Source organism: Homo sapiens, chromosome 18, assembly GCF_000001405.40.
Source record: "Homo sapiens chromosome 18, GRCh38.p14 Primary Assembly".
Lineage (NCBI taxonomy): Eukaryota > Metazoa > Chordata > Mammalia > Primates > Hominidae > Homo > Homo sapiens.
Genome location: NC_000018.10, coordinates 46,854,851 through 46,877,355, shown reverse-complemented (window position 1 = coordinate 46,877,355; position 22,505 = coordinate 46,854,851). Strand labels below are relative to the sequence as shown.

Genomic DNA, 22,505 nt, shown 5'->3' with positions numbered 1-22,505 from the left:
CAAAGAACAAGGAAGTTACAAATTAAACCTTTGAAGAGGAACTTAGCCATATCTGACAGTTCCCTTCTTTTGATTTTTATAATTCTTCCTCTTCAAACGTTTTTAACATTTCTTGACTCTGTTATTCTGCCTGGTTTTCTAAAAGTAGGAGCTTATCTGAATAAGGTGGTGGGGAGATTGAAAAAGGTTTTAATAAGAGCTGTTTCAATAAGCCTTTGTGCTAGGCTTCTGGCACAGGGTATGATATAACATCCTACAAGAATAAGCACACCTGTTACAAAGGCAAGAGAAGTAAGGATTGAGGACATAAGTCCTTTCCATTTGCCAAACCATTTTTCCATTAAATTAGTGAAGGAGGCCGGGCACTGTGGCTCACGCCTGTAATCCCAGTACTTTGGGAGGCTGAGGCAGGTGGATCATGAGGTCAGGAGATCGAGACCATCCTGGCTAACACGGTGAAACCCCATCTCTACTAAAAATACAAAAAAAAATTTAGCTGGGCTTGGTGGCAGTCACCTGTAGTCCCAGCTACTCGGGAGGCTGAGGCGGGAGAATGGTGTGAACCCGGGAGGCAGAGCTTGCAGTGAGTTGAGATAGCGCCACTGCACTCCAGCCTGGGTGACAGAGCAAGACTCCATCTCAAAAAAAAAAAAAAAAATTAGTAAAGGGATCATTTATTCCTGAATTTTTAGCTAGTTCATTGGATAAAGCAGTAAGACCTTGTAATGCTTTTGTTGTTATGGTTCCATCGGGAGCAGTATTATTAGGTATAAAAGTACAACATTGAGTTCCAATGATGACACAAACTCCACCTTTCTCTGCTAGTATCATGTCTAATGCTATTCTATTTTCTGAAGCCATTTGGCTGGTAGGTCCTAATTGTTTAGCTGTTCCTTTACTAGCATCTCTAATATAGTTAACAAATCGTTGCTGGTTGTAATAGATGTAATTTATCCAATCTACATTTTTATTTACAGTTAACCACCAGAATAGTATGGACTCAAACCCTGCACTATCTGATTTTGCACCTTAAATTCATCTGGCACTCCTCTCGGGACTCCAGTGGCATCTATATAAACGTGAGGGTCAAAGGACCCATGAGGGCTATCTCTTGTTATACAATCCTTTGTCTTTATCCTTTTTGGTTGATGAAATTCTAGGGTGAAAGGGATGGCCAATTGGATCAGAGCACAAGTGCTGCTCTAGTTACTTGGCAGAGTGTCCAGTGATGGTCCGCCACAATACCACCATACATCCACTTGCGGATGGATCAGGGCAGACTGATAGGTCAGCTCTCGGAATGGCTTAAACTCACTGCATCCCTTTAGGTCTCCAAGAAATGCTAAGTTGTCCCCTTGTTGTGAGAGACATGAGGTAAAATTGACGTGGCCCTCAGGGCCTGACCCATAGGGTGCCGAACTTCAGGGAATAGCCAAGAGAGAGCTTGGCATAATTCATTACCCTAGGCTGTGGGGCGTTGGAAGAGAGCTACCATACAGTTCATGCCTGGTCGGCTGGAGGACCATCTGAGTGGAAAGGGGACAGTCTGGGCCTCTGGCCTGCGGTGCGCACAAGCATAACAATCTCTTTTGTTTAGAGTGCGGATGGAATATTTAATCCGTTTCAGCCAGGCATTTGCATCTTTGTATCCTGTCTCTAGAGCTATAGTCTGCCTTAATTCTTTCACCTCCACAGCCGTTACCTTAGTTGGGTGGTTCTGGAGATGGGAGGAGAATGCTGGGCATGATATGTTTGGGGAAAGTGTTGGATCCCATATATTCCCCGGACTCTGGGTCTGGATTTCTTTATTGTTTTCAACCGACTCAGAGAGAAGATTCTTATGGGGTCCCGTCCTATAACATCTGCTCCTAACCCATACCATTCGAATATGGAGGGTTCTTGGGCCATTGTTTGGGGATTATCTATAATTAGCAACAAGGGGATAAGGGGTTACATTGCAGTGACTTACAATTTGATGGGGTGGGACCACGTAAGTTGGAGTTTCTGTTTCAGTCCTTGCAACTTGTTTGAAGAAGGGGGCCTGGCTGTCCATCCTCCATATTGGGTGGTCCACCAAACATCTGTCCAGTCACCACAGGGACTTTTTAAGGCTCCATGCTTATACTTTGTTGACTCACTACAGTACGGACATAGATACTTATCTACATTTGATAGCTGCCTTTGAGTTCGTTCATCTCCATATGAGATGACTGAACAAGCGTCAAACTGAAGGGTTAAGGGATGGTTAGTTTGAGTCACATAGATGACAAGGTGACCTTCTGTTGGAAAGAAAAGGGAAAATAATATTAAGCCCTTTTTAGAGGTAATTTGGTGGGGGTGGGCCCTGGGGTGACGGCTCATTTTTCTCTGGCTGTGGAAGCCACTCCTTTCACTCGCGTGTGGTCTGTCCATCCCCTTTTGGCCGTGCAGATAGTGGTTTCTGTAGTTAGAAGCACTAGATAGGGTCCTTCCCAAGCTGGTTCGCGTTTTCCTTCTTTCCAGCTTTTGATGAGAACGTGATCCCTAGGCTGATGCTGACATGCTGGGAACTCCAAGGGTGGTGTCTCTGCTAAAAGGCCTTTAGTTCTGAGGGAAGAGAAAGTGGAAGACAGACTAAGTATGTAACTCCTGAGAAATTGATCTTTAGTTTCAAACGTAGGAATGTCAGCAGTGGAGTGTAAATAAGGCAACCCGTATAGCATTTCATAAGGAGATAAGCCAATATCTTTCCGAGGGGTAGTTCAGACCCTCAGTAAGGCAATGGGAAGGCATTTGGTCCATGGTAGTCGAGTCTCTAAAGTTAATTTGGTGTGGTGGCTTTTTAGGGTTTAGTTCATTCTTTCTACTCTTCCTGATGAAGGTGAGTGCCAGGGGGTATGGTATTCCCATCTTATTTCTAATAGCTGGGCTAGCTTTTTAATGACGTGCAGCGAAGTGGGTTCTATTATCTGAATCAATATTTTCTAGTGATCCAAACCTAGGTATGATATTTTTGATTAATGCCTTAACTACATTACTGGTGGCTGCACTTGAAAAGGGAATAACTTCTACCCAGTGAGGAAGGTGATCCAGTATTACTTGTAGATACTTTAGGCGACCTATTGGGGGCATTTCAGTGTAATCTATTTGGATGCTTTGGAATGGCCCTATTCCAGGGTTCTTCCTCCGATGGGTGGTTTTCTTAGGATTCGCTTATTAGTTTTTTTGCATATTAAACAATTATCTGTAACTTGTTTTGCTAGAGTATAAATTCCTCTACATCTGGAGACTCCAAGAACTGCATCACACAGAGCTTGAGGTCCCCAGTGGGTTTCTTGATGCAACTGAGATAAAACCTCCCTCATGAGACATTTGGATAGCATTTCTCTTTGATCTGGTAACACCCATTTCCCTTCTGAGTTTTCCTTGGCTCCTATTTTTATTAACTTCTCCTTTTCAGCGGGGGAGAAGATGGGAATGGCGGTAGGGGGAGAAAGGCAAGGAGGGAGGTGAAAAACGGGCGTTTCAGAGGAAACGGCAGCTTGTTTGGCTATTTGGTCTGAAGGTTATTCCCTCGGCTTTCAAAAGAAGGATTTTTCTGGTGTCCTGGGACATGAACAATAGCTATTTCTTCTAGCAACTGAAGGTTATCTAATACCTGGGTGATTAATTCTTTGTGGACAAGGTCTTGGCCTTTGCTATTAATGAGACCTTGTTCAGTCCAAATTTTTCCAAAGGTATGGGCTACCCCAAAGACATATTTAGAATCAGTATAAATATTCCCTTCTTGGTTTTGTAAATGTTTTAAAGCCTGATTTAATGCATGTTAAACATGCATTAACATGTTTGGGCCAACCAATTATTGGGCAATCTTCCTGACTCTACTTCTGCAAGAGCTTCTCCATCAACCACCGAATACCCATTACTCCTTTTTCCCCCAATTACCCTAGAGGGGCCATCTATGAATAGATGTCCTGTTTTGAAAAGGGTCTCTCTTAAATCAGCCTTGACCTTTGTGTGATAATCAATTAAATCTAAACATTTACGCCCAGGGCCTTTTAGATTTGGGTTCCCTGTCAGGAAACCTGCTGGGTTAAGTGAATTATCAGTGGTTAATGTTAAGTTACCTCTTTCTAGTAAGATAGCATCATACTTTAAAATCCTTGAGTCGGTGAGCCATCTTCCTGCCTTTTAAGATTGTTCTAACCTGATGGGGTGTGGTCACCACCAAGTTTCCCCCAAAGGTTAGCTTCCTGCTTTTGTTAGTTAACAAGGCGGTAGCCGTGATAAATTGAACACATTTGGGCCACCCACAGGTTACTGGGTCAAAAACTTTTGATACAAAGGCCACAGGTTGTCAGTGGCCCCCATGTTCTTGAGTAAGCACCCCTAAAGCTACCCCCTTGTTTGCGTTAATGAAAAGGTGAAATGGTTTTTCTAGGGAAGGAAGGGCTAAGACAGGGGCAGTGATGAGTAGGTGTTTTAGCTCCTCAACCTGGTGGATTTCATCAGAAGTCCATAGGAGAAAGTCAGGCTTTTCCTGGGTGAGCTTCAGGTATAAGGGTTTCATCTCTAGGGCATATTAATCAATCCATAGTCAGCAATACCCAACTAATCCCAAAAGTTTTCTGAGTTCTTTCTTGGTTTTAGGCAAAGGTAAGGACACGATTCCTTTGACCCGTTCGGGCCTTATCCTTGGCTTGCCTTTACTTATTAAGTGTCCTAAATACTTAACCTTGGGTTCCACAGATCGGAGCTTTCCTTTTGAAACTCGTAACCCCTTCTCTTGTAAATGGTTAAGAAGGTGTGTGGAGAAGACAGCCACCTGTTCTATAGCTTCACCAGATATAAGCAGGTCATCCACGTATTGGAGCAAGCATATGTGTTTTGGGGGTACAAATTTGTTCTAGAATCTGTTCTAGGATTTGACCAAAGAGGTTAGGTGAATCTCTAAACTCTTGGGGCAAGACTATCTATTGGTATTGTTGCTTTCGCTCAGAATGAGGATCTTCCCATTCAAAAACAAATATGTCCCTGCTGTCCTCAGCCAAGGGGCATGCCTAGAAGGTGTCTTTTAAGTCTATCACTGTAAACCATTGATGGTCATATGGTATTTTGCTGAGGATAGTGTAAGGGTTGGGAACAACAGGGTGGGTAGTCTGGACTGTTTAGTTAATAGCTCTGGGGCCTTGCACTAGTCAGCATGACCCGTCTAATTTCTTTACAGGCTATATTGGAGTATTATAAGGGGACATACAGTGTTCAAGGCGCTTATCTTGAATGAGACCTTCGACTACAGGTTTTAGGCCTATCCTGCCCTCTAGGGGAATGGGATATTGCTTTCTTCTTACTATTTCCCCTGGGGGTTTTAACTTCATATGTATTGGAGCAACTTGAAGTCTTCCTCGATTTCCTTCTCTCGCCCATACATCAGGATGAATATATTTTTCATTTGCAGTGGTAAGTAGATTTAATGAGGTGAGAAATCCGTTTGGACTGACATGTAGGCCTATACCTAGTTTTAGCATTAAATGTCTTCCTAATAGGTTAGTTCCTGCCTCAGGGATTAACAGAAATTGAAAGTGGGCTGATCAATTTTTATATTTGACCTCTGTGTCTTCTAAGATTCTTGCTTTAAACCTTTCTCCTTTCACCCCCAAGACAAAAAGTTCTTCTGAGGAGCAAGGGACATTAGGTAAAGGGAAACAAACAGGAACGAGCTGCTCTTGAATCTGTTAAAAGGGTTATAACTTCATGTTTGGGTCCCACCTCTAAGTTTATCAAGGGCTCTTGGTAGAATTCAAGATAAAAAGAATAGAGCCCCTGACTCCCTTAAATGGAATGACTTCTTTCTCCTTCTCCCATTCAGGACATTCTCTCTTAAAATGACTGCTCCTCCACATTTGAAGCATGTATTTTGTCCTCCCTCCCTCCCTGTTCTGAGGTTACCTGGTCTTGTCTCTCTATGTCCTTTATATGGTTTAGCATGTGAGGACTTAAATCCTTTGTAAGCTTTGGCCCCCTGTAGCCCTTGTTTAGGGGTGTGGGGTCTGTAGGTAATGGAGAGTAGTATCAGTGGGCCTTGTCTTTTGGAACCCCTGTTGGAAGGTGGGTAACGTAATTTTTCCCTTTTGTTTCTGCTTTTCTTCATCTCTTCTCACATATACTTTTTGAGCTTCTCTTAAAAGCTCTTCAATAGTCCAGTCTTTCCAATTCTCTATCTTTTGTAATTTCTTAGCAATATCTGGCCAACTGTTCATAACAAAATGTAACTTGAGTATTCCCTGCCCAAGAGGGTCTTCTAAGTCTAGGCCTGCATATTGTCTCATTTGCTCTTTCAGCCTCTCTAGGAATTCCATAGGTCCTTCATCCTTTCTTTGTTGTATATGGAATGCTCAGGAAATATCTTGGGTCTGAGGTACTGATTCCTGAATTCCTTTTATTACCATTTCCCTGAGATCTTTCATATTCTCTTGGTGAGCTGCATTGTTATTGACCCATCGAGGGTCTTGGGCTGGAAATTTTTGGTCGGCTGCAGGAATGTTTTGGCCAGGAGGATGTTCACGTTCCCAGACTACCATAGCAACCCTTTGGATCATGCTTCTTTCTTCCCCTGAAAAGAGGATGCCCAGGATGGTCATTAACTCTGCCCAAGTATACAGCTGTGGCCCTAAGAATTGATCAATTTGATCTGCTACCCCACATGGGTCATCTAATAATGACTCGAGTTCCTTTTTTTTTTTTTTTTTTTTTTTTTTTTTGAGACGGAGTCTTGCTCTGTTGCCCAGGCTGGAGTGCAGTGGCACGATCATGGCTCACGGCAAGCTCCACCTCCTGGGTTCACGCCATTCTTCTGCCTCAGCCTCCCAAGTAGCTGGGACTACAGGCGCCCGTCACCACGTCTGGCTAATTTTTTTGTATTTTTAGTAGAGACGGGGTTTCACCATGTTAGCCAGGATGGTCTCAATCTCCTGACGTTGTGATCCACCTGCCTCGGCCTCCCAGAGTGCTGGGATTACAGGCTTGAGCCACTGCACCCGGTCTTGAGTTCCTTTTTTAAATTTCGAACTTCTGAGCTAGTGAAGGGGGAGCATTTACAAAGCCGATTCCTTCTCCTCCAAGGGGCACTTCCCTCAAGGGGAAAAGAGTTGGGGCTGATTCCTTAGAGGTGGAGGGGAAAAGGAGTTCTGAATATCCTTTTTACACTGTTCTGTCTCACACTAGAGCCTTCCTGGAGGAGGCATAGACTCAGACGTGTGGTTAGGGAGGGCACGGGGCATTGGGGCAGGCATTGACTCAGGGTTATATGGAGGAGGAATTGAGTGAAGGGGGTCCTGTGCACCTGCTTGGGGTGGGGGATTTGGCGGAGGTGGGTGGTCTGGTGGGTCTCATACATTGGTGGATTGTTTTGGGGTAGAGGTCTTACTTTCCTCAGAGGAACTGATTTCTGGCTTACTTCCTATAGCTTTTAGGGGGTAAAGAAGGATGGGTCCCTGCTGCCAATACAGGGCATAATCTATTTCCTCCTGGGAGATGGGACTCTTGTCATTGACATACTCTATTAGAAGTTGACAAATTCAATCCTCATTTGACTGAAACTTTGGCCAGAAAACTGAGGGTGTGAGGATGAGCTCTGTGGTCCAAATGAAACAACAATATTTTGTCATTTGTTGTTTTTTATTATGTTTAGTCCTTTCACTGTCCCTCCAGTATGTTAACATGAGACCTAAGGGACTACCAGAGGGAATGTTGTTATCATCACTAGCTTTATATCTTTCATTTCCTGTCTTACGTGGGGTGTTTCCCATCCTGGAGGTTTGATGTGAGGCTCAATGCCACATGTTAGAGATTTCTTGCCTTCTCTTCTCTAGAGGTTTGCTGAGGCTCAGTCCCTCCTTATATTAGAGATTTCTTGCCTTCCCTTCTCTAGAGGCTTGCTGAGGCTCAATCCCTTGTATTAGAGATTTCTTGCTTTCTCTTCTCTAGAGGTTTGCTGAGGCTCAGTCCCTCCTCATATTAGAGATTTCTTGCCTTCCCTTCTCTAGAGGTTTGCTGAGGCTCAGTCCCTCCTCGTATTAGATATTTCTTGCCTTCCCTTCTCTAGAGGCTTAACCCCCCTCTACTGGAGGTCTTTTTTACTCTCCTTTTGCTTTGTCCTTCTCTGGCTGCTTCCCTCACGGGAATTTAAGTCCCTCTTAGCATCGGTGTGTCGGTATAAGCCCCACAACAGGAATCTGCCATAAGCCATATGAGGTGACCACAGAACTGCAGATCCAGACTCCACGCTTGCTTTGTGCTTAATTGTACATCTCATTCACACACATTCAAGCTCCAAGTTGTCCCAACCACCAAGGAAATACTTTGTCACCCCCACGACTTTTCTTACCTTGGTTTGTGTACAGAGTTACCTGGTTGCCATGGTGTGTGAGGATCCTTTTCACCTGCGTTGCTGAGAGTCCAGGTTTATTCATCATGCTGGGGGAGGTCTTGATCCCTCATCCCTGAGGCCACCACAGTGAGGCAGGGGGACGCATCTCCTCATGAGAGATGATCAGGGACCTCTTCCTGGATGAGAAAGGCAATCGCGGATGAGCCCCCAAGTTGTTAGAAACAAGAGCTTGGAGTCACAAGGAAAACAAGCACCCAAATGCCAAATGAAGGATTTCTCAGCAAAGCAAATTTACTTCTGCAGAAGGGTGCTGGTCACACTTCTGGCCGCTGCGAGAGCACACCAAACAAAGGAGGGGAAGGGGTTTTTATCCCTAACACGGTTAATCTCTGGTTCTGTGTCCTTTCCCCATTGGCTGGAGTCAGACGGCACAATCTACACTGACCTGATTGGCTACCATTTAAAATTGAATATGGCTAATTAGGCGGAAAGGGAGAGGCTGTCTGTTACAGTACAAGGCATGTTTGGGCATGTCAGGGTGCGGCAAAGGCGGGAAGGGTAGTTTCGGCAGGGAGAGCTGTCTCAGCAAGAGGGGGAGCTTACAGAATGGGTAGCCAGGAGTAAAGAGGACTCTTTCCAAATAAGGAAGAGATGTGAGTTACAGATTGGGACTGGCAGAAGTAGTTGTTTACAGAGCAGATAGCTTAGGAGAAGGGACAAGGAAGTTGAGCTTAAGAGCAAAGAACAGGGAAGTCAGAAATTAAACCTTTGAAGAGGAACTTACTGTGTCTGACATGCTCATGGATTCCTTAGGTCAGGAATTTGGAAGGGCAGTGTGTGGGTGGCTTGTTTCTTATCCCAAGATCTCTGGGGTCTTAGCTGAGAAGACATATGCTTGAGGTGCACTTGGCCAGAAGCTCAGATCACTTGGAGGCATCTTCCCTGATATGTTTGGCAGCTATGCCACCTGATGACTTGGACTTAGCTTGGCTGTTGGCTGGAATACCCATATGTGGCTTCTTCATGTGGTCTAATTTGGGCTTCTTTATAGCATGAGAGCTAGGTTCCAAGAATGAGTGTCCCCACAGAGCAAGGAAGATGTGTGTGGTATTTTTATGGTTCAGCCTTGGAGCTGTATAGCATCACTTAAACTGTACACTGTTGGTTGATGCTATTACAAAAGGCCATTCAGATTCAAAGGGAGGTTGATAAAGACCCCACTACTCAGTTGGAAGAATGTCAAGTTTACATAAAAAGGAGGACATGATGGGAGATAATGTGGTTATATTTGGAAAATAGAATCTACATTATGAAGGGTTGTTGAAAAAGGAAAGGTTTGAATAAAGCCATATTTAATTCATGCCCTTGAGCCATGATCTTTTTTCATTTCATTTGCTCTTAACTTAAAGGCATTCATGGAATCTCTGCAGAATTGGTTTTCTGATTCCCAAATTGTAGACAATGGGGAGAAAATAAACTGCAAAACCTGCATACTTTGCATCCTGCATTCTTTCTCATGGTTATGTTAAAATAACCATTTAGCTAACAAATTCACTTTATGGAAAGTTTGGTATGCTTTTGGCTGCTGTTCTGTCATAAAATTGACTTATCTAAGAACTGTCAATGTTAATACAAATTAGATTTTTATTAGCATATGCACAATTTTTTGTTGCTGTAAGTTCCTGGAGTCTGGTTATAGTATATAGCAATGACACAGATCCATTTTTCTATAGATACTGGGTGGTTATTTGAGATTATAATCTGGATTGAAAATTTGACAGCAAATATAGGTAAAGTCAAAGATATGTCAGAAAAATAAAAGGCACACCGAGAATATGTCTGTTATGACACAGACTACTAACATTAAGCTGCCAGTTCTATAAATTGTACATATATATTGCGTATGTGCAACATGTAAGTACAATTTGATATAAAAGTACATGTTGAACATACATGTACAACATGACTATGGAACCATTCTCTTTTCAAATGTTAAGGTTCATGGGTTTTGGAAACTTTTCAGGGTAGGTTGTCTCCAGTCATTCAGACAGAGCCTCAAATACTGGCATTTATATTCGTGAATTCACAGAGGGTCTTGTGCCCAACTTTACAGGTGTAGATACCTGCTGCTTGTGGCACGCTAAGAGTGGATTGGTCTTTAGGGAGATTTAGGTTTATCAGGGTCTTTAGGGAGATTTCAGGTTTATCAGAAAAAAGCAGGAAACACAACTGTTGGGGAGATAATTTCCTTTATCTACCCCCTCCATTCTTTTTGCTGTTCTCATATTTCCTCCCTGTGTTAGAAATCCTGCCTTTCAATGCCATCACTTTAGCTGTCAACAGTCTTTTGAAGGAAATTACAAGAAGAAAATACAGCATACTGTTTTACATTTATGCTTATTTACTGTATGATTTTCATTCCCAGAGATCCAGTTTTGAATTTATGTTTTAAAATAATCCTGGTGATTTTGTTTTACATTTCTTGTAATGCATGTCTGCTGTCAGCAAATTCTTATATCTTCTGTTTATCTGAAAAGTTATTCTTCCACTCTGCTTTTGAAGGGTATTGAATTTTCAGTTGAGTTTGTTCTTTCACCACTTTAAAGATACCTTCTGGCCTATATTGCTTCGGATGAGAAGTTGGCCTTGATTTGCATTGTTCCCTTGTTTCTTTTTTCTCTCGTTGCTTTCAAGATTAATCAAACATAATCAATAGTATGACTATGATGTGACTAGGTAGTTTTCTTTGTATTATTTTACATGGAGTTTGATTTGTAAATCCTTTTTTCCCCTCCATCAAAGGTAGAATTATTGATTCATTATTTCTGCAAGTAGTTTTCTTTTTTAATGTCTCATTTTGCACTCTCTTCTTTTAGTTCTCCATTTGTACTTACTTTAGACCTTTTGAGGTTTCTGGCTGAAGAGACTGGATGCTCATGTCATTAATTAATTAAGATTAAAATGCAGCATGTTTACTTGTAATCTCAAAATACACGTTATTACATTTGGCAGTTAAGAGGTCATTGGTGACCTTAGCCACAGATAGTGAAAAGTGGAGTCCGAACAAGAAAAAAAGGGTTGAGGAGTGAATAGGAACTGGAGAAATGGAGAGGCTTACTTATGTTTCTGTGTTTGATGCTCCATAATTATGTTTATAATCCAAAGTTTTATTTTACTTTTTGGCCTTCATCTTAAACGGCATCTCCCTCTTCCCTCCTTTTTAAAGCGTTCTGAAAAAATATGAACCATTTTGTGACATTTCTAGGAGAATAATTGCTATAATAAACTGTGCTTATAGAAAAGAATATTTTAGCTAGGGAATTAATATTTTTCTGACTTGATGTGACTTGTGGTTGAACCGCTCTGACATTGGATATCCAACTGGCATCTTTTTTATCTTCATGTAGCAGGAAAACTGGACAGTGTTATATACAAGGACCATTTGCCTTTTTTTTTTTTTTTTTTGAAGACTATCGCTGTAGTGCACTGGTGTGATCTCAGCGCACTGCAACCTCCACCTCCCAGGTTCAAGCGATTCTTCTGCCTCAGCCTCTGGAGTAGCTGGGATTACAGGCACGTGCCACCATGACTGGCTAATTTTTGTGTTTTTAGTAGAGATGGGGTTTCACCATGTTGGCCAGGCTGGTCTTGAACACTTGACCTCAAGTAATCCACCTGCCTCGGCCTCCCAGAGTGCTGGGATTACACGTGTGAGCCACTGTGCCCGGCCTCATTTTGCCTTTACTTGGGTGATGTTGCAATTGTTAGGAAGCAAAAGACTTGAGGCCTCTATATATATTAACTTTTTTGTTTGTTTTAATGGACACTAGAACATTATTGAATAATTCATTATTAACCTATTGCAGGTTTTTGTGAAGTCATAAATACATTTCAGGTAATAATATACATAAGGGTGACTTCATTAAGCAATATTTTTTAACTGGGAAGACTTTCATATGCAAATTAGGTATCTTCAAAACTTAAAAGTTTTGACATTCAAAATTTTCTTATATGAGTGTTTTGTGTAATTAAATACAGAGCACCAAAAGCAAAATACAACAAAGAAAAATAAACAAAAAACATTTAATTCTTGAATACAGTTCTCCTGGGGAGCATTTTGACTTCCTTTCATTAGATAATATTATAGTTAAGAATGAAATGTAATATTGAAGCGTTTTGTTATATTTTTACTGTGCATTAGTATTTTTTTTTTTTTTTGAGATGGAGTTCACTCTTGTTGCCCAGGCTGGAGTGCAATGGTGCAATCTTGGCTCACTGCAACCTCCACCTTCTGGGTTCAAGTGATTCTCCTGCCTCCGCCTCCCATGTAGCTGGCATTACAGGCATGCACCACCATGCCCAGCTAATTTTATATTTTTAGTAGAGATGGGGTTTCTCCATGTTGGTCAGGCTGGTCTCGAACTTGCGACCTCAGGTGATCCACCCACCTTGGCTTCCCAAAGTGTTGGGATTACAGGTGTGAGCCACTGCACCCAGCCTGCATTAGTATTTTAGAATAAAGAATGGTTACGTACTTAACGTTAAAGAAACCCCTTTGTAGTGACTTTACTCATGATTCCAAGATGAATGCAGTTTAGTACTTCCTGATTTTGGAGTATTTTAACCATAACGTTTCAGAATTTGGCAGGTACTTTATAAAAAATGCCTGGTTATTGCAGGTGGTTGTAGTGTTGGATTTGTTATTGAAATATTATCTTTCTTTTTTTTTTTCTTCCCAGTTCAAAGCAGTATTCAGCGATTTCAAGAGAAGTTTTTTATTTTTGCTTTGACACCTCAACAAGTTAGAGAGATATGCATATCCAGGTAAGAGGAATATTTGGAATATATTTCTCATGAATATTGGTTTATTCACCTGTAGGGCTGCCATAACAAAATTTCACAGACTGGACAGTGTAAACAACAGACTTTTGTTTTTCAAAATGCTGGAGGCTTCTGTCCAAGATCAAGGTTTTGGCAGGTTTGATTTCTCCTGAAGCCTTTCTCCTTGGCTTGCACGTCTCAGATGGCCTTTTCTCTGTGCTAGTGCATCCGTGGTGTCTTTCTTTTCTGGTAAAGACACTGTCATATTGGATTGGGGACCTACCCTGTGGCTTTATTTAACCTTAATTTCCTCCTTAAAGGCCTTGTCTCCAAATACAGTCACATTGGGGGTTAGGACTTCAACGTATAAATTTTGGGGATACACAATTCAGTCCATAACAGTTGACCTGTTTCTCTCATGAAAGGGTAGTATACTTTGACTAAAGTCAGCCAAATATTTAGTAAATACTGTGTGTTAGAATAAAATTTTTAACCTTTGAATAAAACCTCAATGTCTTTTAGATTACTTTTTGTTATATTTGGCAATAATTTTTTAAATGAAAAATTTATTCCCAGGTTGGGCATGGTGGCTCATGCCTGTAATCCTAGCACTTTGGGAGGTGGCAGTATCACTTGAGCCCAGGAGTTCAGACCAGCCTGGGCAACATGGTGAAACCCTGTCTCTACAAGAAATACAGAAATTAGTGTCACCTACTCAGGAGGCTGAGGTGGGAGAATCACTTGAGCCTGGGAGGTCGAGGCTGCAGTGAGCTGTTGTGATCATGCTGCAGCACTCGAGACTGGGCAACAAAGCGAGACCCCATCTGAAAAAATATATATATTGGGTAAAGCAATATAAAAAGAATTTATAGTAGCCCAAAGACAGGGTGACCATAAGCTTTATCATTCCAAACTGGGGCATTTTTGAGAGTGAAAGTAAACATTACTAATAATTATTCTGAGATAAGAACATAAACTGAGGTAGTTATGGGTAAAGTGAGCTGTATAGTCATCCTGACCAAAAAATTACCAGATATATGAAAACAATTATGAAAAGTATTGGTAGACCCATTTGTAAAGAGCAGATGAACTAAGAGATGTAAGAAGAAAGAAAAGGAAATCTGTAGCATTTAATTTTCCAATTAAAAATATTTTTAAAAAGGCTGGGCGTGGTGGCTCATGCTTGTAATCCCAGCACTTTGGGAGGCTCTGGTGGGTGGATTACTTGAGTTCAGGAGTTCGAGACCAGCCTGGCCAACATGGCGAAACCCATCTCTACTAAAAATACAACAAATTAGCCGAGCATGGTGGCGGGCGCCTGTAATCCCTGCTACTCGGAAAGCTGAGGCAGGAGAATCACATTAACCCAGGAGGCAGAGGTTGCAGTGAGCCGAGATCGCACCACTGCACTCCAGCCTGGGCAACAAGAGTGAAACTCTATCTCAAAAGAATATATACATATATGTGTATATATATGTGTGTGTGTATATATATGTGTGTATATATATGTGTATATATGTGTATATATATGTATGTATATATGTATACACACACCTTTAGTGTTAACAAAACATTATTTATATGACTCTTTAAAGTTGCATTCTTAAAAGATTCAGCATGATAAAACTAAGGCTTCTGGGAGGTTAATGATTTTTGGGGGGCTGTAATGTTAAAAGCAGAGCAAGGAATTGAGTAAATTAGAGGTGTTTACTTCCTTTTCAGATATTAATTAGAACACTCTTTGAGATGATAGTAAGAGTTTTTCAAAAATAAGATTGTTGCAGTTAAGTAAGTTTGGGAAATTCTGTACTTAATTACATAATTTTTTTTTTGAGACAGAGTCTCGCTCTGTCATCCAGGCTGGAGTGAGTGCAGTAGCATGATCTTGGCTCACTGCAACCTCCACCTCCCGGTTTCAGGCGATTCTCCTGCCTCAGCCTCTTGAGTAGCTGTGACTACAGGCAGGTGCCGCCATACCTGGCTAATTTTTGTGTTTTTAGTAGAGACGGGGTTTCACCACGTTGGCCAGGGTTGTCTTGAACTCCTGGCCTCAAGTGATCCACCTGTTCGGCCTCCCAAAGTGCTGGGATTACAGGCGTGAGCCACCATGCCCGGCATAAAAACTTTATATTTTGTAGTAATTTTTATTTAGATAAAAATTATAGAAATAATACATATATTCTTTATCCCTGTTTCCTTTAATATTAAATCTTATATCACCATAGTACAATGATCAAAACCATGAAATCAACATTGGTACAGTACTATTAACTACAGACTTTATTCAGATTTCACCAGTTTTTTGGTCAATAAACGTCTTCTGTTCCTAGATACAATCCCAAATCACATTTAATTGTTGAGTCATCCTACTCTGCTTCAATCTGTTACAGTTTCTTAGTTTTTGTTTGTTTGTTTTTTGTCTTTCACAGCGTGACACTTTGAAGAGTACTGATCAGGTGTTTTGTAGACTCTTTCTGATTTGGGGGTACGGCTGATGTTTTACCATGATTAGATGGAGGTTGTGCATTTTTGGCAAGAATACCTCAAGTTATGTGCCCTTCTCAGGGTACCATATCAGGCAACATAATATTGATATCTTATTTTTGGTGATGTTAACCTTGATCACTTGGCTGATACTAGCTGCCAGGTATCTGCACTGTAAAGTTACTGTTTGTTCCTTTGTTGATAAATATTTTGCAAAGATAACTTTGCAACTAGGCACCTAGTATTCTGTTTTTCCTCAAACTTTTGCAGATTAATTCAGTGTTCACTCGTGAATCTTGGCTTTAGTGGTTACTTTAGCAAAAACATTCTTGTGTTCTGTTGTCCTTAATCTTTTTTACATTGAGATTATTTTATTTTTACAAGGAGGAGCTGTCTCCTTTTCTTTTCTTTCTTTCATTCATTCATTTTGTTTGTTTATTTTTTGAGACAAAGTCTCACTCCGTCGCCCAGGTTGGAGTGCAGTGGCACAATCTCGGCTCACTGTAACCTCTGCCTCCCAGGTTCAAGCGATTCTTCACCATGCCTGGCTAATTTTTGTATTTTTAGTAGAGAAAGGGTTTCACCATGTTGGTCAGGCTGGTCTTGAACTCTTGACCTCAGGTGATCCGCCTGCCTCGGCCTCCCAAAGTGTTGGGATTACAGGTGTGAGCCACCACACCCGGCCTTTTATTTTATTTTATTTTTGAGAGAAGGTCTTGCTCTGTTGCCCAGGCTGGAGTGCAGTGGTGGTGATCATGGCTTGTTGCAGCCTTGACCACCTGGGGTCAAATGATCCTCCCATCTCAGCCCCACAAGAAGCTAGGACTACAGGTGTACAACACCACACCTGGCTAATTTTTATGTTTTTTATAGAGATGGGGTCTCACAGTATTGCCTCGGCTAGTCTCAGACACCTGTGCTCAAGTGATCTTCCCTCCTTTGTCCCCCAAACTATTGGGTTTACAGGTATGGCTTTACAGATGTGAGCCAGCATTCCCAGCCCGTTTATTCGTTTATAACAGTGTGGACTCATGGGTGCTCTATGAGTTATATTCCAGTGTTACAGTAATTGATATGCTCAAATTGTTCTATCTTTGGCTATTAGAAGTTCTTTCAGGTTGGCTCCTATGCCCTTTTGATATACCTCTCTCCCTGAAACCCACTTTGAGCGCTCTTTAATTTCTTGCAACAAAAATGCTGAAGGCTTATCTTGTATTTTCTCTGCTGCAACTGTGGAATTGATCAGTTCTCCAGGGAGCCCTGGTTTCTCTCATTAGGCTTTATTTTGTAACACTACTTTCCAAAAAAAGTGATCTATTTGATCTAGCATATTGTACATTCTGGATTCGGATGATTGCTTCTTGTGTCATTTAACTACTTCTCTCCCCATGTTTCTCAAACTTTGCTGCATATTAGCATCAGCTGGGGAGATTTAGGAAATTCTCATACTCAGGTTTTATCCCACATCAGTTAAATTAGAATCTCAGGATTGAACCCAAACATGAGTGGTTTTTAAAGTTTCCCAGGTTTCTGGTATGCAGCCAACTTGAGAACCACAGCTGTGTTTCTAGCTCCCTCCCCTTTGCCTGTAGTGGTAGTAAGATCTAGACTAGACGCTTGAATACATTCTTGTCCAGGTTTTTTTGTTCTTTCTGTTACATCTTGTGAAGATTGAACATTGGATTCAGTTCTCTTTTTGGCTTTAGCGCTGCTCCTTCCATTTGGTACTAGTATATTTTTAACCATGCTCTCAGTTCCTCACACTGACTTCTTGTACCCATTTTAAGGGATCAATCTGGGATTCTCTTCTTGCTACTCTATGATAATATTCATTAATGTGCTTTGTTATTTTTATATGGGTGGCTGCAAAATTACCAACACCTCCCTCTAGACACCTTTTTCAGTGCCTCTCCTTTGACCTACAAGGGCATCAAGCACAACACATCTAAAATTGAGCTTGCCTTCCATCAAACCTGCTTATCTTTTGTTCTTTTATTCATTCATTTAGCACACATTTATTAACTGTCTACTATGGACCAGACAATATTCCAGGCACCAAAGATGCGAAGTTGAAAAACAGACTGGCCTCAAGGAGATTTTTGCTTAGTATATTTCCTTCTGCATTACTCGTTTCCTTAATGGCATTGGAATCTGCCTTGACAGAGGCCTCTTTGTGATAGGCCACTCTTCATTTACCACATCCTGTCTGTTTGCTGCACTTCATTGATTCTTTTTTTTTTTTTTTTTTTTTTTTTGAGACGGAGTCTCGCTCTGTCACCCAGGCTGGAGTGCAGTGGCGTGATCTTGGCTCACTGCAAGCTCTGACTCCCGAGTTCACGCCATTCTCCTGCCGCAGCCTCCTGAGTAGCTGGGACTACAGGCACCCACCACCACGCCTGGCTAATTTTTTGTATTTTTAGTAGATACAGGGTTTCACCATGTTAGCCAGGATGGTCTCGATCTCCTGACCTCATGATCCACCCGCTTCGGCCTCCCAAAGTGCTGGGATTATGGGCGTGAGCTACCGCGTCTGGCCCTTCATTGATTCTTTTATGTCATTCTGAATATTTAAAACTCAGCAAGGCAACTCTACCTTTGAGGGAGCTAGTATGGTCTTTAGAGTAATACTAAGTATAAAGTGAATTCTGAACCAACCACTTAGGTCCGTATGCCCCTAGACAGGTGACTAAACCTCACTTTCTCAGCATGCAAAATTGGAATAATGATCACCACCTCACTGGGTGGTTTGGGAGATTGATGCTATAACTTGCTCTGCCTCTTCTTGTCCTGGTGAGTAGCATGGCCATCTCTTCAGTTGCAGCATTCCAAAACCTGGATACCCTCCTAGAAACTCCCCTTCCCTTATCCTGCCTTCTCACATCTAGTCATTCATCAAGTCTTACCATTTTTTATGTGTGAATATCACTCAGTGGTATTTATGTTTAATAGCTTTCAGGCCCTCATTTGAAATTACTATTATTTTTTGAGCCAGGGTCTTGCTCTGTCACCCAGGCTGAAAGTACAGTGCCGCAATCAAGGCTCACTGCAGCCTTTAATGTCCGGGCTCAATTGATCCTCCCACCTTAGCCTTCTGACTAGCTGGGACTATAGGCATGTGCCACCATGCCTGGCTGATTTTTCTATTTTTTGCATAGATGGGGTCTTGCTGTGTTGCCCAGCCTGGTCCTGAACTCCACCTACCTCAGCCTTCCTAAATGTTGGGATTACAGGCGTGAGCCACTGCGCCCAGCTTCAAGCCCTTGTTTTTTGCCTCTTCAATTGTAATGGTCTCCTAATTATGAGATCTTTCCATTAGAAAGCTCCTACATATGATCTTTCTAAAGCCCATTCAGTTTTTTCTCTTTGATGCTTTAAACACACTCTAATGGTACCTCATAAAGTCCACACTCCATTGCCTGGCAGTTGTTTTCAACATCTTGCTCTGCTTTTTTTTTTTTTTAATCTTATCTCCTGTTACTCTTTTCTAACAACCTGTACTCTGACTAGGCTTTCCCATTTGTGTTTCCTAGGTTAACTATGGTGTTCACATCTTTGCACCTTTGCCGCCTTTTTTCTCTGTACTCTGCCTGGCAAACTTCTTGAGTCATGTTTCAAGGGCCAGTTCAATTCATACGTCCCCTGTGATGCCTTTCCAGATTTGCTTTAATGTGTCATTTGTCTCTCACTGTGCCATGTACTTATTTTCTGTTAAGGCATCATTGCATTTATTTCACTGCTTGCATTTGCAACCTTCTTAATGAAAGCAGCATTCTTCTACTCATTTTTATCACCTCACAACCCATTACAGTACCTAGCATATGGTAAATGCTTCTTTTGTATCTGATGGACCAGTATGTAAAACTTCCTAGAACAGTGATTGGCAGAAATGAATGTCAGAAGATGCCTTGGTCATTACTCATAATGTTTGTGAAGATATTTAGCACATTGTATTTCCCAGTTTTTGTTAATTTCCCTTGCCAGAATAAAGTGTAACTCCTTAGTGAGCTGTTCAAAACCCTTTATGCCCCCATCCATCTTTCTAGGCTCATGTCTTGTCTTTTCTCTTTCTTCACATCGTGTTTCCCATCTAACAAGTTTCTGATCTGTATCTCTGTCCTTTCTTTTTTTCTGGGAATTACTGCACTAGATACCCACAGTTACTCATGTTCCTAGTGGAGCCACTAAGCAGAAGTAGGCAGAACCACTGCTGTAAAAACCCTGTTTTCTAGTTAGATTGGACTAATTGTGATAATGACCTTGAACTTTCAAGACAAAAATTTTCCCTTTTTCTGTAGCACTTACTTTTTATAATGTACTGTACCACTTACCATATTTTATTTTAGGTGTTGTATTTCTGTTACCTACTTAGCATATAAATCCTTTGAAGCAAATACTGTGTTGTATTTGTCTTTGAAGCTCCAGCACCCAGAATATGAAATGTGTCTTGATATGAATGAGTGGAGTGATATGGGTTGCTCAGAAGAGGTCAGTATTGTCAAGGATATGGGGATGTTTTGAATAGCCATTTGAGAAGGCTGCTCTTGGTAAGGAGAACAGTGGGAGCAGTGGAAACAGTCACAGCAGCCAGCTGCTCCCATGTGTTGAGCACATCTTATATTTAGGCACTTGACATGTGTTGTTAACATGTTTAATTGTCACAGCAACTTGATGAGGTTGGTGCAGTAATTTTCCATCTTTAACAGATGTAGAAACTGAGGCACAGAATGGTTAAGTGATTTGCACAATGTTGTGCAGCTTGGGACTGTAGAACTTAAGGTGGTTGTCACTGCTGTGCTTTACTGCCTTCCAGTGGAGCTCGAGGATTGGGAACGGTGAGTAGACTGGCCCAGTTAGAGCACCATGGGGGCTCAGTGTACTCCAGTCTTCTCAAGAAAGGACTACACTCTAGTGATCTTCTCTCTGACAGAGTCCAAGATTTATGACAATGGCTAAGGGCAATACTTTTTAAAACTGTAATGTGTATACATGTCACCTGAGGATCTTGTTAACATGCAGATTCTAATTCTATAGGTCTAGGATGGGGCCTGAGAGTCTGCATTTCCAACAAGCTCCTAAGGAATAAGTGCTGCTTCCCCGTAGACTCCATGTTGCGTGGCAAGAGTTTGGAGGGTTCAGTATGAAATATATTTTACATGGGACCATTAGATTCTCATCTAGAAATTATAAGAGGTTCTGTATCTTTAATTGGATACATAATTATGAAGTTGCATGGTATGGAGATGCTGAGACTCTAGGCACTAATTCTTTATCCTGGGTCTATATTAGAATCCCCCTAGTAGCTATAAAAACTAATGCTTAGGCTGTACTTGAGATCAATAAGAATATCCAGTGAATAGGTCTTTATAGTAAAAGAAAAGTCTTTGGCCAGGTGCAGTGTCTCATGCCTGTAATGAGACACTTTGGGAGGCCAAGGCGGACGGATCACGAGGTCAGGAGATCAAGACCATCCTGGCTAACACGGTGAAACCCTATCTCTGATAAAAATAAAATTAGCCGGGCGTGGTGGCGGGCGCCTGTAGTCCCAGCTACTCGGGAGGCTGAGGCAGGAGAATGGCGTGAACCCGGGAGGCGGAGCTTGCAGTGAGCCAAGATCGCGCCACTGCACTCCAGCCTGGGCGACAGGGCAAGACTCTGTCTCAAAAAAAAAAAAAAAAAAAAAAAAAACAAAAGAAAAAGAAAAAAGTCTTCAAGTGATTAGAATGCTCTAAGCAAATAGATTTGCTGATTAAAACTCTTTCCGAACTTAGGCTGCTTCCTTGCATGTTACCAAGTTTGATGTCTATTGAAATAAATTTTGCATCATCAAAGTTCCTGTGCATTGAAGGTACCTTAAAATTGCCATAAAGACGTGGCTAGAAGTTAAGCAAGTCAGGTTTATCATCATTACAGTGATTTCATTAAGGCTTATATTATTGGTAGTATATTGATCACCTTTCAGGGAATAAGAAAAATACAAATAATGCTTTTCCTTTTTTTCCTCCTGGGGAGACTGTTCTGAGAATTCTCATTGTACTTTTTTAACCCATTTTCTTTCTCTTTCCAACAGGGATTTTTTGCCAGGTGGTAGGAGAGATTATACAGTCCAAGTTCAGTTGAGGTGAGTTTGAAATTTTCTGTTACCTTAGTTTTATACTTGCTTACTATGTGCATGTAGTTCTGAATTTTAAAACATATAAGAATGTTTGAGCACACTATTTAAGAATACTTTTTTCTTTTATTAATGCAGACTTTGCCTGGCAGAGACAAGTTGCCCTCAAGAAGATAACTATCCAAATAGTCTATGTATAAAAGTAAATGGGAAGCTATTTCCTTTGCCTGTAAGTTGCTTTTTATTCACCAGATTTGCATATAAGTTTAATATAAACACTGACAAGGCCTAGAAACAGTGCAACAGTGACAGCTGAATACCAGTGAACAGTTTTAGCATCCAGATTAAATACTATTTTCCACTAGGGTAACCCATGGCTTCTTGGATAAATAATAAATGGCTTATTTCAGGTCTGAAGGAGATGGAAAACATAAGCCTGGAATTTTTTTTTTTTTTTTTTTTTTTTTTTTAAAGAGACAAGGTCCTACTGTGTTCCCCAGGCTTGATTTGAATTTATAGGCTCAAGCAATCCTCCTACCTCAGCCTCCTGAGTAGTGGGGAATACAGTTGTGCACCACTGTACCTGGCTAGAGCCTGGAGCATCTTACTTAAGAAATCAAGGATGCTGTGAAACACTCTTGGGATCATATCAAACAGCATAGTTGAAGGGGAGGACTTGGGCACTTTCATGTATAGGACAGCATGTGTGGGATGTCTGCATTA

At 41.3% G+C, this 22,505-nt stretch overlaps 1 protein-coding gene and 1 long non-coding RNA gene across 31 annotated transcripts in view, besides 2 other annotated features; one reads left to right on the top strand and one right to left on the bottom strand.

Moving 5' to 3' along the window:
* Window positions 1–22,505, top strand: part of PIAS2 (protein inhibitor of activated STAT 2) — a 116,928-nt gene that overhangs the window by 42,790 nt on the left and 51,633 nt on the right. For 27 of the 30 annotated variants that reach the window (NR_148700.2, NR_148701.2, NR_148703.2 and 24 more), the window contains 3 exons: window positions 13,108–13,192; window positions 21,741–21,791; window positions 21,921–22,011. Coding sequence is in view for 23 of the 30 variants with exons in the window: in NM_004671.5 (NP_004662.2) it covers window positions 13,108–13,192; window positions 21,741–21,791; window positions 21,921–22,011 (227 nt within the window). In the remaining 7 variants the exon portion in view is untranslated. The remainder of the gene's footprint in view (window positions 1–13,107; window positions 13,193–21,740; window positions 21,792–21,920; window positions 22,012–22,505) is intronic. The other 3 variants (NR_136684.2, NR_148702.2, NR_148699.2) reach the window with 1 other exon arrangement.
* LOC124904294 (uncharacterized) lies at window positions 1,789–8,709 on the bottom strand. Its single transcript, XR_007066358.1, has 2 exons — window positions 8,366–8,709; window positions 1,789–2,586 (listed from the first exon to the last, which is right to left on the bottom strand). It is a non-coding gene; the product is annotated as an uncharacterized LOC124904294 (long non-coding RNA).
* Window positions 8,272–9,471: an enhancer, noted in NCBI's record as "MED14-independent group 3 enhancer chr18:44447848-44449047 (GRCh37/hg19 assembly coordinates)". NCBI's record gives its function as "activates an origin of replication core promoter dependent on BRD2, BRD4, P300/CBP and CDK7 cofactors, and independent of MED14, by STARR-seq in HCT116 cells {active_cell/tissue: HCT116}" and the evidence as "EXISTENCE:reporter gene assay evidence [ECO:0000049][PMID:35650434]".
* Window positions 17,599–17,668: an enhancer, noted in NCBI's record as "active region_13282". NCBI's record gives its function as "activates an Ori minimal core promoter by ATAC-STARR-seq in GM12878 lymphoblastoid cells {active_cell/tissue: GM12878}" and the evidence as "EXISTENCE:reporter gene assay evidence [ECO:0000049][PMID:35858748]".